The sequence below is a fragment of the Homo sapiens genome, chromosome 3 (genome assembly GCF_000001405.40).
Source record: "Homo sapiens chromosome 3, GRCh38.p14 Primary Assembly".
NCBI classification, from domain to species: domain Eukaryota; kingdom Metazoa; phylum Chordata; class Mammalia; order Primates; family Hominidae; genus Homo; species Homo sapiens.
Window position 1 is genome coordinate 23,425,343 of NC_000003.12, and position 16,888 is coordinate 23,442,230.

Here is a 16,888-nt window from a genome sequence, read left to right on the forward strand (position 1 = left end):
TTGTCTTTTAAAGGGGGAAGCTCAACTAAATTTTCTTTAAAATCCCATCTGTCTCTGAAATTTGTTAATTTAAAAAATTAGACTTCTAGTTTCCAGACTAGCATGTAAGGAGCTTAGAAGTCATTACGTCAAAAAATAAACAGGTTAAAAAGCTGAACAAACTGAAAAATTAACAGTTCTTCTTAGATCTGTTATAGAAGCAAGGTTACAGGGTAAACCACTCCCACCACCCCCAGATTGAAGAGACAGGCAAATACAGAGAACAGGAGCAGAAGCCTCTGCAGGAATCAGCATCACAGTAGGAAAACCTGAACTGCAATTGATAAATTGCTGGGGCTCAGGATATACAAGCTTGAGAGTGAAAAACTTTAGGGGTGACGAGTCATGAGACCTAATCATAGGACTATAGAATGCTCTACCCTCCCCCGCTTTCTTACCCCCACTTTCTTAGCCCTATTTTCTGCAGTTCCTTTTACCCAATTCACCATGTCCAGCTCTCAAGAAAAAAATTACAAGTGTACTAGAAGGCAAATAATACACTTCGAAGAGACAGAACAAGCAACAGAACCAGATTCAGATATGGCAGGGCTCTTGAAATTATCATATCAGGAATTTAAAACAACTATCATTAAAATACTAAGGGCTCTAGGGATAAAGTAGATGCCATGGAAGAGCAGATGGGCAATGTAAGCAGAGAGGTGGAATTCTAAGAAAGAATCAAAAAGAAATGCCAAAGGTGAAAAACAGTGAAATAAAAATGAAGAATGTTTTAAATGAGTTCATTGGTAGACTTGACACAGCTGAGGAAAGAATCTAAAACCTTGAGTATATGTCAGTAGAAACTTCCAAGATAGAAAAGTAAAGGGAAAAAAGACTGAAATAAACTGAACAGAATATCCAAGAACTGTGGAACAACAATAGGTGTATCATATGCATGATGAGAATACCAAACGAAGTAAAAAAGGAAAGGAACAGATTAAATATTTGAAGCAGGAACAACAGAAATTTTCCTGCAAATTAATGTCCCACACTAAACCACAGATTCAGGAAGCTCAGAAAGCATTAGGATAAATGCAAAAAAAAAAAAAAAAAGCTACACATAGTCATATCATATTCAAATTACAGAAAATCAGTGATTAAAAATCTGGAATGAAGCCTGATGGGGTGTGCAGGGAGACCTGACTTAGAGAATTATATCCAACATTTCCTCAGAAACCATGCACACAATAAGAGAGTGAAGTGAAATAATTAGTGTTGAGAGAAAAAAACTTCCAGCCAAAAATTCCATACCCTGCAAAGTTATTCTTCAAAAGTGAAGAAGAGGTAAGACTTTCTAGCTAAACAAAAATTGAGAGAATTTGTTGCCAGCAGATCTGCTTTGCAATAAATGTTAAAAGAAGTTCTTCAGAGAGAAGGAAAATGACATAGGTCAAAAACTGGGATCTCCATTAAAAAAGGAAGAACATCACAGAAGGGATAAGTACAGGTAAAATTTTAAATTTTTTATTTTTCCTATTTTTAATGGACAGATCAATCTGTACAAAATAATAGCAACAATATATTGTGTGCGTATACACACACACATATATATATACTTATCTAAAAGTAGAAAGAAATAACAACAATGGTACCAGGGATGAGATGGAAGAATTAGTATTATTTTGTTATTAAGTACTTGTGTTACCTGTGAACTGGTATATATTTGAAATATATTTATTTGAAAGTAGGCTTCGATTAGTTTTAAAGGTATTTTGCAAACCCTAGGAGAATCATTTTTCAAAAAGTTAAAGAAGTATGGCCAGGCAGGGTGGCTCATGCCTGTAATTCCAGCACTTTGGGGAGGCTGACATGGGCAGATTGCTTGAGCCCAGGGGTTCAAGACCAGCCTGGGCAACATGTTGAAACCCCATCTCTACCAAAAAAAAAAAAAAAAAAAAATTAGCCAGGTGTCATTGTATGTGCCTGTAGTTCCAGCTATTTGGGAGGCAGAGGCAGGAAGGTGATTTGCACCTGGGAGGCATAGGTTGCAGTGAGGCAAGATGATGCCACTGCTCTCCAACCTAAAAAAAAGTATAACTGATAATCTAAGAGAGAAAATGGAATTATATAAAATGCTCAAAACCACAAAAGGCAGAAAAGGAGTGAAAGTAAAAAATAGGAACAAAGAACAAGGGCAACAAATAGAAAATTGTAACAAATCAATAGATAATAATTAAACTATATTTGAATGATCAGTTTGAATAGCAGTGGCCTAAATATACAAATTAAATGTCAAGAGATTGTCAGCATGGATGAGAAGCAAGACTCAACTTTATGTTGTCTATAAGAATCCTACTTTAAATATTAAAACACATGTAGAGTAAAGATAAGTTACTGGGGAAAGATATACTATGCTAACACTAATCCAAAGAAAGTGGGAGTACCTATATTAATTTCACAAATAGAAGACTTCACAGCAAGGAAAGTTGTCAGAGATGAAGAGGGGCATTACATAATGGTAAACGGGTCAATACTTCAAGAAGACGTAGCAATCCTTAATGTGTATGTGCATAACAACAGCATATCAAAATATGTAGGACAAAAACTTACAGAACTATAAAGAGAAATAGATGATTTGGCTATTAAATAGTTAGAGACTTCAGGACCCCCTCTATCAGAAAGTGATCCAGCAGGCAGAAAATTAGTGAGGACATAGTTGACCTCAACAGAATCATCAGTCAGTTGAATATAATTGAAATCCGTTTACTACATTATACACCACCACCACAAAGCACATTCTTCTTAAGCTCACATGAAACATTCACCAAGGTAAACTGCATTCTGGATCATAAAACACACCTTAACTAATTTTAAAAATGCTGTGCGACCACAATGGAGTTAAACTAGAAATTAGTAACAGAAAGATAGCTGAAAATCTCAAAATACTTGGAGATTTGACAACATTATTATAAACACATGGGTCAAAGAAGAAATACCAAGAGAGATTTTAAAATATTTTAAACAATGAAAACAAAAACACAGCCTATCAGAATTTGTGGGATGCAACGAAAACAGTGTTTAGAAGGAAATTTAAAGCATTGAATGCAGAGGTTACAGAAGAAGAAAGATCTAAAATCAGTAATCTAAGCTTCTACCTTAGAAAAGAAGAAAAAGACAAGCAAATCAAATTCAAAGTAAGCAGAAGTAAAGAAATTTAAGAATTAGTGTATATATTAATGAAATAGGAAACAGGAAATCACAGAAAATCAATGATCTCAAAAGCTGGTTCTTTGAAAACATCAATAAAATCAATAAGCCTCCAAAAAAAGAGAGAGAAGACACACGTTACTAACATCAGAAACAAAAGAGAGGGCCAGGTGTGGTGGCTCACCCTGTAATCCCAGCAATATGGGAGGCAGAAGCAGGAGGATTGTTTGAATCCAGACTGGGCAACACAGTAACACCCCATTTCTACAAAAAATAGCCTGGTGCCACCACATCACAGTTACTCAGGAGGATCACTTGAGCCTGGGAAATGGAGGCTGCAGTGAGCTGTCATCATACCATTGCAGTCCAGCCTTGGCAACAAAGTGAGACTCTGTCTCTTAAAAAAAAAAAAAAAAAAAAAAAAGAATTGAAAAAGAGGCTATCACTACAAATATTTTGAACATTAAAAGGGTAATAAAGAAATACTATAAACAACTTCATGTCCTAGATGAAATGAACCAATTTCTTGAAAGATACAACCTGCCAAAATTCACACAAGAAAAAATACACAAACTAAGTAGGCCTTACATATATATTAAAGCGGTTGAATCAGTAACTAATAACTTTCCAAAACGGAAAGCACCAGGCCCAGACTGGTTCATAAGTGAATTCTGTACATTAAAGAAGAAATTATACCAATTTTCTCTACAGTCTTTTCTAGAAGATAGAAGCAGAGAGAATCCATTTTAATTCATTCTGTGAGGCCACCATCCTAATACCAAAACCAGACAAAGACATTGCAAGAAAAGAAAACTACACACCAAAAAATTTCATATAATAGGCGTAAAAAATTTTAACAAAATACTAGCAAATGGATTCCAACAGTGTGTAGAAACAACTATACACCATGACCAAATGGGATTTATCCTGGGTGTGCAAGGCTGGTTCAGCATTCAAAATTTAATTAATATAATTCATCCCGTCAACAGGCTAAAGAAAATTCTCAGGATCATATCAATAAAGAAAGGGCACTTGACAAAATTCAACACCTATTCATGATAAAGACTTGGTAAACTAGGAATAGAAGAGAACTTCCTTAACAACATTCTGCTCTTACAGCATTGTACTAGAAGTCCTAGCTAATGTAGTGAGATAGGAAAAGGGGCAGGGGAAAGTATACTAATTGGAAAGGAAGAAATTAGACTTTCTTCACAAATCATATGACCATTTATGTAGAAAACCGAAAAGAATCGACAAGAAACTTCTGGAACTAATAAGCAATTATAGCAAAATTGCAGTATACAAGATTAATATACAAATGTCAATTGCTTTCTATATACCAGCAACAAAAAAGCAGAATTTATTTATTTGAGATGGAGTCTCGGCCTGTTGCCCAGGCTGGAATGCAGTGGCACGATCTTGGCTCACTGCAGCCTCTGCCTCCCAGGTTCAAGCAATCCTCCCACCTCAGCCTCCCATGCAGCTGGGATTACAGGTACATGCCACCGTGCCTGGCCGAAGGAACATTTTTATTAATCATGGTTATAGTAGTAGGAGTTAATTCTGGAAAGGTTAGGTTTTGAGATTCAGACCCCTTGAATGTTGGACTGAAGCAGTCTGTCTAGTGCTTAAGAATATAAACTCGATGCAGACTATTTGAGCTTGGATCTTATCTCTGCCACCTTCTATAATAGCGCAGCTTATTCTATAATCGACATAAATGGTCATATGATTTGTGAAGAAAGTCTCATTTCTTCCTTTCCAATTAGTATACCTTATCTCCCATCTTCTATAATATAGCACTTAAATATAGGTTACTTAACCTGTCTTTGCCTTGTTCCTCATGTGTCAGGTAGTGATAGTAACACTACCTACCTCATAGGGCTGTTACAAGATTAAGAGTTCATCCATTAAAGTTTTTAGAACAGTACCTGGCCCACATTAAGCACTTAATATGTTGGCTATTATTCTTGGTGGTTGTGTGGCGTTTTTTTTGTTGTTTTTTTGTTTTTTTCTTTGAGACAGGGTCTCACTCTGTCACCCAGACTGAAGTGCAGTGGCATAATCATGGCCTCAACCCCCTGGGGTCAAGCAGTCTTCCTGTCTTATCCTCCTGAGTAGCTAGGACTACAGGCATGTGCCACTGCCCCTGGCTTATTTACTTATTTCTTTTGTAGAGATGGGATATCCCTATGTTGCCCAGGTTGGTCTTGAACTCCTTGCCTCAAGGAATCCTCCTACCTCAGCCTTCCAAAGGGCTAAGATTACTGGTGTGAGCCACTACACCTGGCCTGTTTACTTCATTTTTTAGGCAATAGTTGACAAGTTTCTGTATACATAAGAATCAAATACAGAGTTTATGAAATGCTGGATCTTATTGCCAGAGCTTTTGATTGAGTGGGAGCTTTCAGTTGAGTATAGATTTGGCCAGTGAATCATAACAAATATGAGGGTAATTTTGCTGCAGTAGCCTACAGCCTTTACTTTGAGAAACTGCAGAATGTTCTAGAGATTCAGTGCTGACTTTACAACAATGGAGTGGGATGGGACAAGTGGTCTGTTGGGAGAATTTATCTATTTGGTATCTTCACTGGGAACTGGAAGTGGGTGAATAGAAATAAAAGGGTTTTGAGATGAGTGCTTGAGATACGACAAAGGAAGTTTTCACAGGCTTTGGTGTGAAAAACCACTTTGCTATTTTGAGCCTTTGTGACTCAAAGAAGATGGTACACTGAAGAAAGAAAAAGTCAGGAAGATGAATCTGTTTGCTAAGGATTTATTTTGTTTAATGTGATTGAGGTCCACTGGGGTCATGCTTAGTGAGCTGTTCAAAGATGCTTTCCTGAATGTTTCTGCAGCGGGAAAGCCACAGAAGTAGTAGGTTGTCTAAAACAATAGTTGCCACCAGCCAGCTTTCCAGTTTTTCAGGAAAATGCTATGAGTACAATATATTAATATGGATAGATTTAAATCATTAAAAAAACTTCTCTGATGCCTGTGAGCTGTGGTATATGTCAGCTGTTAATTTTCTTATCCTTTTCTTAGATAACATTTTATTTAATAGAGCTGTCTTATAAGTTGTAAAGTGAGGTTTATAGATTTACCATCACTTCTGACATCTTCAGATCTCCTCTTTAAAAGTACAAAATAGAACTTTGCAGTAAAAATAAAATAGTATAAACAGATTTTTTTTTAGCCTCTGAAAACCACTATATATTAGTTTGCATTAACCACTATACGTAGAAATATCTTCCTGTTCAAATGTAGTTATGTGATACTTTGTGAAAATAGGGCCTTAATATTTAGGGGTTAAAATTAATTCAAAATATTTTCAGTAAGAATGGGCCAACTTGGCCCACATACTGTAGTACAAGCTGATAAGTAGTCATTAGAAGATGATGATCTAAGACTACTAAATAAGCTCTCACAGACAGGTCATATGAAACCACGTTTATATCTAATGATTTAAGTGTAAAGCATGTAGGCAAACGCTACTAGTCATCACACTGTAATGTACAGCTTTCAGTACAGAAAATTTGGATAAATGTTCTGCAGCTATATCCAGAAATCAGTTTTTCATTAATTTCTCTTTCTATGTTTTGTCAGATACAGTAATTATATCACAAGCAGTCAAATTCTAAAATGGTATGTGTAGAGAAAAGAAGCAACAGAGTTCTTGCCATTCCTAATTCTGATTACCCTAATTTGGGATAAATATTTCCTTCTTAATTAATTGGTTAATGCATTAAGATTGTGAGCTGAAAGGTATCATAAGTGCAATTATTATTTGTATGAGGATTCTTCGTTCATAATTGGCAAAAAGTGAAACAAAAGGAATAACCAAAAATCATAACAAATAGCATCAGCATTTAAAAGCAAATTTCTAGAAATGATTACTATAGGACTTTAAACAAATTTTTTACATCAGTGATATGATTTTTAATATTTTTAATATTCAGAAGGCTTTTTATGTAAGTGCATATATCAACATTATCAGTTATACCTTCTTACTGATAAATTCCTGCTGTCAGTCTCTCCACAGCTCTACCATGTTCTTTTTCTCCTTACTTTCTCGTCTCAAGTTCATTAGTTGAGAAGGATGCTTACTATTACTCTGTCCAAATTTGGTAGTGGTTTTCTCAATTTTGGGCATTTCATGTTCAATTAAAATTTATTTAATTGAACTTTTGAAAGAACTTTCCCAGCCATATAGAGATGTATTTACATTATAGATTCATTTCCAGATAACAGTCACACAGAGACTTCTTTTCTGTTACTTTTTTCTTGCCTTTGATAATGACATTAATAATTTAATAATAAACTATTAACATATTAACAGATATAATAGATGTTAATATTAATATAATTTATGTGTGGTTCTATAAGAATAGACACTTCGATATCATGATAGAAAGATTCTTGATTATGATGCAACTTGAATATATTAAACACTAAACTTTCAGCTTATGATGCCATTAACAGAACTTTTAACTTATGATGCCTTTAATACTTTATTCCTGTGATAAGATGTGAATGGAAGGAAAAAATAAATATTACTTTTTGGTGGAAAAGTGTACCCAGTTGTTTATTCATACAGAAAATAATTATTGAATGTCAGTTTCTGTATGCCAGGCACTGTTTCAGGCACCTAGGATACTGTGGTGGACCAAAATCTTATACTCATATCTTTTCTCCCAAGTGAATTTTGCTATATCATTATTGTGCTCCTCTATAAAGAATTAGAATAACTTCATAATAATAAAAAATTATAAGTTGACTCCATTAAAAAAAAGCTGAAAAACAGCTGATTAAATCCTATTGTATGTAAAACTGAATTTTGTTTTATGCGTGCTTCTAGATAAATAGTGATAGAGTTCTTGAGTGTTTTAATGAAGTGTTTTAATGCAGGTGAATGCTTTGGACTGATGTCAACAGTGAATGTTAATGATTTTTGAGCATGGTTGGCACTATGAATTGGTTGTTTTTAATTTTTTGAAACTAAGTACATTGACGCAGATTTATATGATCTGATGATATCTTATTGGCTATGATTAACCAGAATATGTGATATTTAAACGTTGAAAATGCATTAAAGGATCAAGAAAACAGCTTGTCTTTATGACTTTTTTTTTTTAAGTTTTAAAAACACTGAGCCAAATTTTGGATTTAACATTCCCAAGCTATGGCCTAAGAGAAAGACAAATTTAACAGAATGAGAGTAAATGAAGGGCTGGCCCATCAGTGATCTCTTTTTATAAATTTACAACTTCCAAGAAAAGCTAACTAATAGAAGTATATCATGTCTTGCTTTTTCACAAGATGTAAAATACGGGAATACATGTAGACTAAGAATGGTAAATTTTTAAGTTACCTCGTTTGTAAGGGAAAAAAGATTCCCCTTTTTTCTCATTTACATTTAAAATAAATCCTCAATATTATATGGAACTATTTATAATATAGTGAAACCCATTTTATTTGAACATACAAATATAAAAATTTCTGGTAGTCTGCAGCTAATATGCACTGTCTGAAGCTAATAGGTTGTGCAGAATACTGCTGCTATTTGAGTAAAAGTTAATGCTTTTGAGACCAGCTAATACACTTAACTACACTGTATGAGCTGTGGGTGTTCCGCTTATTTTTATTACAGGCTTTATTACTGTGCAATTTTGTTGTACATTAACAATCATCCACTTTAAACTAGTGCTTAAATACTTATTGAATGTGGTAGCCAAAGAGCAAAAAAAAGATCTCAATGTAACATCCAATTGCTTACTAACATAACCTGGATTGTGATTTATCTCTAATTTTATGACAGTAATATTTCAGTATCAAACTAGAATTCTGAAGAGAATAAAGTTTGCATCCCCCAAATGACACAATTGTGCATTAGCTCTACTTAACTAGACAAAATTTAAAGGCAAAAAATTCTTGGTACGAAACAGATACTCCCAAAATGATCACCCTATGTGTGTCCAAAGGAGTTCTCACTATATTGTGTAAGTCTTCTTCCCTCCATTATTTAAATAGTTATAAATTTTCATTTTATTATGTGTATATTAGACTATATATTTTATAATTTTCCTCTCTGTAAATGTACAAATATGCAAACTTGTATAAATTAGGTAATTGCATAAAAATTGAAAGGCATAAAGATGTACTACTGAGTTCAGGAAACAGTTGGATTGGGGGTGTGTTTAATAAGTAGCACAATTAAGATGTGAGAAGGAAAAACTGAAGAAAAGGAAATTCTCTCAGTGTAATGCTTTATTAGCTCCAATTTTCCCCTTGTCTCTTATCTGAAGCAAGTGATTTTTTTCCATTTGCTTAAAAATAAAGCATTTGCGCACAGAATGTTAGCTCATTAAAAAGACCTTTATTGCCATAAATCGCTGCATCATTTGCATATCCAGATTCACAGAATCAAATTACAGTTCAACCAAGTATTTAGTATCTGGAAAGCAGTCTTGGTTTCATGTCTACTTATTTTCCCAAAACTCTTGTTAATTCTCCTTATAGTTGTTTTCTTAGTGGCTGAAATTAAGTGATGTCTAGTAAATAAGCCAGATTGCTTCTTAAATAAAATCTGGCCTGTTATTTATGTCCCCACCTATTGTTTCAAACTCTATAATTTGAACTTACACACTTGAAATCAATAGTAATAGTTATGGTGATAGGGACAGGTGATGGGATAAGGATTTTATTAGTAGAATCAGTCATGAGTCTAAAACTGCACTGCTAGATACAACACACAATAATAACTGCTAGAGATAATACTTAACCGTAACCTGCAGAGTAAATATTCTTAATCCTAGTTTACAGAATAAAAAGCTTGGAGATAAAAGTTAAGTTACTTGGTGTGAGGTCTGATTCACACAGCCAGTAAGTGGTGGTTTTGGTCACTTCCTCCTCACCCCTTTGACAAGGGAAGGATTCCTGCCATAGGGTTATGAGGATGGCTGAACACGTCAGTTGGGCTCAGCAGCAGTTAGTTACCTATGTTCACAGCTAAGGCAAAGAGGACCCTGTGCCTCAAGTGGGGTCACGTGGAGTTGCACTTGGGAACAGAGTAAACAACTAGGAGCTATGGGAGGCAGGCTTTGTAGTATCAAGAGGGTGGGGGTATCCCCTGGTTCCCATGGAAGGATGTGATTGGCTTGTTTGAATAATTCCTCAAGCTGACAAGAAACTGAAACCTACTATTCAAGGATAAGGAAGAACTGCATCTGGCCCCTTTGGTAAGGTGGATGGTTTCGCTAGGGGCCTTTATTCATGAGAGCAGAGTGGAGAGGGGAACGTATGGGTTACGTCGGTGGTCCCCAACCTTTTTGGCACCAAGGTCTGGTTTTGTGGAAGACAGTTATTCCACGGCAGGGGCGGGGCAGGCTGGTTTGGGGATGAAACTCTTCTGCCTCAGATCATCAAGCGTTAGTTAGATTCTCATAAGGAGCGCACAGTCTAGATACCTCGCACGCACAGTTCACAATAGGATCCCCACTGCTATGAGGATCTAATGCCACTGCTGATCTGACAGAGGTGGAACTCAGGCAACAATGCTTGCTCCCCAGCCGCTCACCTCCTGCTGTGCGGCCCAGTTCCTAACAGGCTACAGACTGTTAGCAGTCTGTGGCCCAGGGTTTGGGGATCCCTGGGTTAGATCATTCAAGGCCTTCCCGATTTTACCAGGTGTCAAAGCGGCACATGATATTGAACCTTAATTTTAGGTGTTATACCACAGTGGCTAAACTAGAGTTCTGATTGTGAACTTTCATGACTCCAGTGCCCAGGTTCATTCTGCTGTTCCATGATATTTTTCTTCTTGCCAGAATGACATGTTAACATTTCGTTAGTAATTGAGTACTTTGCTTTCACTGGGCATTTCTTAGTCCTGCGTTCTTCAGAATTCGTACACTGTAGCATCTGTTGTATTCTCATAGAAAACTGGAGCGCTCTCATTTAGAAGACATTTGAAGATTTGTTTTCCTTTAAAGGAAAATCTGAGTATAAGTTCTAATTATATCTTGATTTACAGAAGATTTTTTTTTTTTCCTATTCTCAAAGCTGCAGTGAGCTGCGATTGAGCCGCTACACTCCAACCTTGGTGACAGGGCAAGATGCTGTCCCAAAAAACAAAAACAAAAACTATACTCCCTCCCCAAAACAAAATCTTATTTTTCCATGTTCCATCTTATTTTTATTAGAACGTCTTAAGTTCCCCCTCTGCAGCCATGAAACTGGCATACCACAGGTCTGGAATGCCTCTCTGTCTCTCCATTTGTATCTCCGACATTAGACCATTTCAGCCACTCCTGCATGCAGTTACACCCACCTCATTTTTATCACAGTTAGGGAATGTTTCACAGAGTATTTTGCATAATACTATGAGCTGGGTGCTACAAGACATTTAAAAAATAATAGCTGGTTTCTGCCATTGACACTCTCACTGTGGAGAACAAGACATAAGAGTTGTGTAGTGTAAAGGTAAATCAGTACACATAGAACCCAGACTCCTAACCCAGGCCCACAGGCCATACGTGAGCTGGCCCCTGCCTGCTTCTGGAGGCTCATCTCTTGTTCTTTCTCCCTTTCACTTGACTCTGGCCACGTTGGCCTTCCTTCCACTTCCCACACACGCCAGGTTTTTCTCATCCCAGGGCCTTTCTCCTTGTAGTTTACTTGGCCTGAAAAACTCATCCTTACATGTCTGACTCTCTTTTTTCAGGTCTCATTGCAACTACTATTTATAGGGATAGTTCTTCCTTGACCATGCCACCTAAAACTGGCCCTTTTGACTTTTCCATGCATAGTAGGTCCCATGCCACCCACTTAATACCTGTGTAATTTTTCCAAGATGTTTAATTTCTCTGTGCCACAGTTTGCTAATCTGTAAATCCAGGAGTATTTTAATAGATTAGGTTTTTGTGACAGTTAAATGCATTAATATCATGTAAAGTGCTAATTATAAGAATCTCTGGCATATAGTGATTGCTCAGCAAATGCAATCAGTTTCTGACCTTCATCTTCATCATTAAGGGTAAAAGAAGTAGTGTAAAACGTAAGTACTATAGGAGCTCAGAAAGGAGAGGAATGCCGGAGGCCCTGAATCACCATGAACACTTTCCTTGTGACAGTAGAATCGAACCTCACTGCTTCTGTATAGTGTCTGGCATGTTTCCGTCAGACAGGCACTCCCTCCTCCTTTGGATTTCTACGTCCTTTTGGTTCTTTGTGTGATACTTGTATCGTAGATTGTGTATATGTTCTCACAGAAAAGGTCATCCTGCATCTCTGCATCCTCAGCATTGTGTGCCGCACACAGGACAGGTGGCCACTTATTTGATTAACATGAGAAAAACACAGAGATTCCATGAAATCAGCAAGTTTTAAACACCCTCAGTGTGGGCAGTAAATGCAGTATGAGCACAGTGACTACAAAGATCAGTTACTGGAAATGACCAAGTTGGAACAGTGAGGGGCAGACTATTGTATGGTCTTAAATTGGCTTTAGAGTCAGATTAATTCAGCAGATTTGAAGAGCATCATTTCATGCCAGTGTCTAAGCTCAGATTGTAGGATCACAAACATGAACCAGTACAGGTTTCTGTAAAGCATTTTAACTTGATTCAGGTGGGACTTCAGTGAGTAAAGCAAGAAAGGTGTTCCAGACAAGCTTCAGAAAGAGCAAAAGTAAAGGTGCAGAGTTGAGAAGGTTCAGGAATTCAGGTTCTCTAGAGAAAAGATTTCCTCATGCTGGAGCAAGAGGAAATAAGGCTGAAGTGAGGGGGTCCAAATTATGGAGGATTTAGGGTACCAGAACCAGAACATCAGCTTTATTCCATAGGAGCCTGTGGAAGGTTTGAGCAAAGGATTGGCAGAAATAGTACTCAAAATTAGATGATACATTTCTGTATTTTCTGTAGTGATAGAAGTTCCTTGAACTTAAATTTGAAAAGGTTTGAATTAAAAGGGACAGATGTTCTCAAGTTATATACTAGACATTTTCAGTAGTTGTACGGTTTTTGAGCTTTTATTAGTTGGTCCTAAGTAAGTTTTATAGCATTATGATAGGCAGTTGGTGACAGCTTAGTCATGTGTTCTTTCTTGAGTAATAATTAAAGTATTAATATTTTTCCTTTTCATTATATTTTATGCATCATGGTTTGATATATGCTTGAAATATTTACTAAATTAGATATTGCTGCATGTGGTCCATCCCACATATAAATGGAAAAGAGAAACTTAACATAGTTCATAAATTAAAATATTTGGTTTCAGCTGTATTCATATTGAAACCATAAAAGAATCAGAATTACTGTGGGTTTATGATTGTCAGGTTACCACCATCACTACAAATTTTCTGATAACAACATATTAGTATTCTGATAAGGTTTGTGGCTTCTTTGCAAGGATATTTGAATACTACTCAACACACTACATAATGGTTAACTATTGTTGTCTTTATTTTAAGGAAGGCATGAATATTGTTAGATTTGCCCCTAAGTAATTGAGTGATCATTTTTATATACAAGAAAATCAGAGTAGAATGCAAAATTTGGAACAGGAACTCAATAATACTTATAAATAAGTTGATTCAAAGAAATGTTTCAATTTCTTGACATTGAATTCATGATGTTTTGCTTTTAACATGTGATTTTTAAAAAATACTGTTATGTGTACAGGGGAAGGCTAACCTGAGACTTTCCCTTCATGCGTATTCTTCCTGTGCACTGCAAAAGGAAACTGTGTGACTGCTTTCCTTCCTGACTGGCCATCACATAGGGTTACTGGCAGATGCCAGGAATCCAAGGACTAAAGGAATAAAGGGTGTGTGTTATAGTACCTGCGCTAAGAGATACTGTCAAACTCAGAGGCACCCCTCCTCCTCCATGTCTTAACCCTAGAATTGTTTTAGAACTTCTTATGGATAAGTGTTTGGATTAAGGGAGATCTGGGAAATGGGATTTGAATTTTAAGCAAGTGAGCCCTGGGGATGGCTAGCTGCCCAAAGTCTCTAGGACCCCAAAGAGATTATGAGAGAGAACGTTGAGAGGTCTGGAATGAATTATACATACTCTTATAATGAACTTTCTCCAGCTTGTCCTTGAGCAGCTGTCTCCATCCCATCCCTCAAGTGCTTTGGAACCCACATCTTATAACAATGGAAAGATAGATAACCTTTTATTTTAATGTGTTTATTTTTATTTTAATGTATTTAAGTAGTTTAAACACTTTCAGCGAAAACGCATTGTATTTCTCACTCCATTCCTCAATCCAGATGTATAACTAAAGTACCATAGTGCTGTCCATTATTAGCCCATTTTGTGTTTTAACCTATACAGTTTGAGGAACAAGAAACCTACCTGACATCAAGATTATACTATCAGTGAAGCCAGAGAAGCTATACTTATTCATTGTAGACATTCTTATCTTTTTAAATTTTTTATATTAAAAAAAAAAAAGAGGCTGGGCATTGTGTATCACGCCTGTAATCCCAGTGCTTTGGGAGGCCGAGGTGGGTGGATCACGAACGAGGTCAGGAGTTCAAGACCAGCCTGGCCAAGATGGTGAAACCCCATCTCTACTAAAAATACAAAAATTAGCCAGGTGCAGTGGCAGGTGCCTGTAATCCCAGCTACTCGGAGGGCTGACGCAGGAGAATCGCTTGAACTCAGGGGTCGGAGGTTGCAGTGAGCCAAGATCACGCCACTGCACTCTAGCCTGAGTGACAGAGTGAGACTCTGTCTCAAAAGAAAAAAAGGAAAAATAATGGGGTCTCACTATGTTGCCCAGGCTGGTCTCAAACTCCTGGACTCAAGCAATCCTTGCATCTCGTCCTCCCAAAGTGCTGAGATTACAGGCATGGGCCATTGTACCCGGCTATCTTATCTTCTTTATATAGATATCTAATAAGATGTAAAATACTGACCTGCATTATCTCCATGTTAACATTTACACTTCAAAATCTGTAAACGGACCCACGTTCATACGCGTGAACAGAAATCTTTCAGCAACAAAAGAGAAAATTGTATTTCTCGATAGAAAGGAAGTGGTCAGATCATGCCAGCCAAACAAATCTGTCAGGCTTTGAAATATAGAACCGTTAGGTAAGATACTGAGAAAAAGGATAAAGTAAGATCAGCCTAAATGTTTCAGTCTAGTTAAGTTGATTTGTATATTACTTAGAAATTTCATTTTCAGGGAAATAGTTTTCAGATTTAAATAACTGTAAAGAGCTGAGTTATTCTTTGACTTGGATTTAAAAAAAAAGAAAAAAAGTGTCCTGAAGTCATTTCCTGCCAGTTTGTCCCCCCAACTTTTTTTCCTGCTCTTCCTGTAACTGGTTCTTGTTACGGCAATGTAGCTGTATATTTAAATCCTAAGAGACTCGCTTATTGTGAGTAGGCAGGGTCAGTAGTCTGCTGAAACAAGCACAGGAAACTTGAAACACCTAGGGGCTATTTTAAAAATCCCTTGCCACTGACATTTTAGTTAGAATTCTAAAGAGAGAATGGGCTGTTTGGATACTGAGCTCCAGTACAAAAGAGCTGGGGTTTTTACACCGACTTGCAAACCACTAAAATCATTTGACCTGGTGTTGTGTCACTTGGGTATTCTGAAGCATCAGATGAAAACTAATATCCACCCTGCAAGGTTGGCAGGCAACAATTGTACCTGTGAAGTGAGCATCTATCAAAGAATTGGGGAAGGAAGGCCGGGCGCAGTGGCTCACGCCTGTAATCCCAGCCAGTACTTTGGGAGGCCAAGGCGGGCAGATCACGACGTCATGAGATCGAGACCGTCCTGGCTAACACAGTGAAACCACGTCTCTACTAAAAATCCAAAAAAAAAAAAAAAAAAAAATTAGCTGGGCATGGTGGCGGGCGCCTGTAGTCCCAGCTACTCGGGAGGCTGAGGCCAGGGAATGGCGTGAACCCGGGAGGCAGAGCTTGCAGTGAGCCGAGATCGCGCCACTGCACTCCAGCCTGGGCGACAAAGCGAGACTCCGTCTCAAAAAAAAAAAAAAAAGAATTGGGTAAGGAAACTTAATGTGTGGAGGAGATGCCACCATCTCTGAAGCACAGACTTTGTTAGAGGAGCTCACTGACTTGTTCCTAATAGTCATGTGGTTGGGGCAGGCCTCTAGCACTGCTGACAGGTAGCATTGATTCTGTCTCATCTTTAAGTTATAGCGTATTCAGTATTGCTTTATGCTATTATTTTTGAAAGGAAGTTGTTAACTGTACAACACTTTAGGTGATATTATGAGCTAACTATTTTAAATATATCATTTTTTTTAATTACCAAAAGCAGTGTCAGAAAATGAAACTCTTCATTTGGGTCGTTTAAAACACATTTGCTTTTGGTGTACCACTTATATTCAAAGACGTTTCATATTTATTTAAGTACTTTAAGAATGTTATTACAAAGCCTTGCTTTGTGATTTAAATTGAAGTTCCCTAGTGTTCATATTGTTAGTTAGAAATTTAGATTTTAGTTCTGTGACTTTTATATTGTTGATTGTAACTTTGGACTTATGTGGCCTGTGTAATACATGCTACAAAAATAAAATCTGGGAGTAAAAGAACATATGTATATTTTAATAAAGACCTCATTAAACATTAGTAACAATAGGATAAGGAATATTAACTGAAACAGACAGGAAATCAGGGTGAAGATCAGGCAGAACTGATCCTTTTATTTA

General features: G+C 36.8%; 1 protein-coding gene across 5 annotated transcripts in view, besides 2 other annotated features; it reads left to right on the top strand.

Annotated features, from left to right (window-relative positions):
* UBE2E2 (ubiquitin conjugating enzyme E2 E2) overlaps positions 1 to 16,888 on the top strand; it is a 388,828-nt gene that overhangs the window by 222,245 nt on the left and 149,695 nt on the right. The gene's annotated exons all lie outside the window — the stretch shown is intronic.
* Positions 16,133 to 16,302: an enhancer, noted in NCBI's record as "experimental_68697 CRE fragment used in MPRA reporter constructs". NCBI's record gives its function as "activates a minimal promoter by MPRAs in K562 erythroleukemia cells, with activity observed for the introgressed 3:23483051 or rs75564076 variant allele {active_cell/tissue: K562}" and the evidence as "EXISTENCE:reporter gene assay evidence [ECO:0000049][PMID:34662402]".
* Position 16,218: a transcriptional cis regulatory region, noted in NCBI's record as "Neanderthal adaptively introgressed variant 3:23483051 (GRCh37/hg19 assembly coordinates) or rs75564076 in the experimental_68697 CRE". NCBI's record gives its function as "modulates activity of the experimental_68697 enhancer by MPRAs in K562 erythroleukemia cells {active_cell/tissue: K562}" and the evidence as "EXISTENCE:reporter gene assay evidence [ECO:0000049][PMID:34662402]".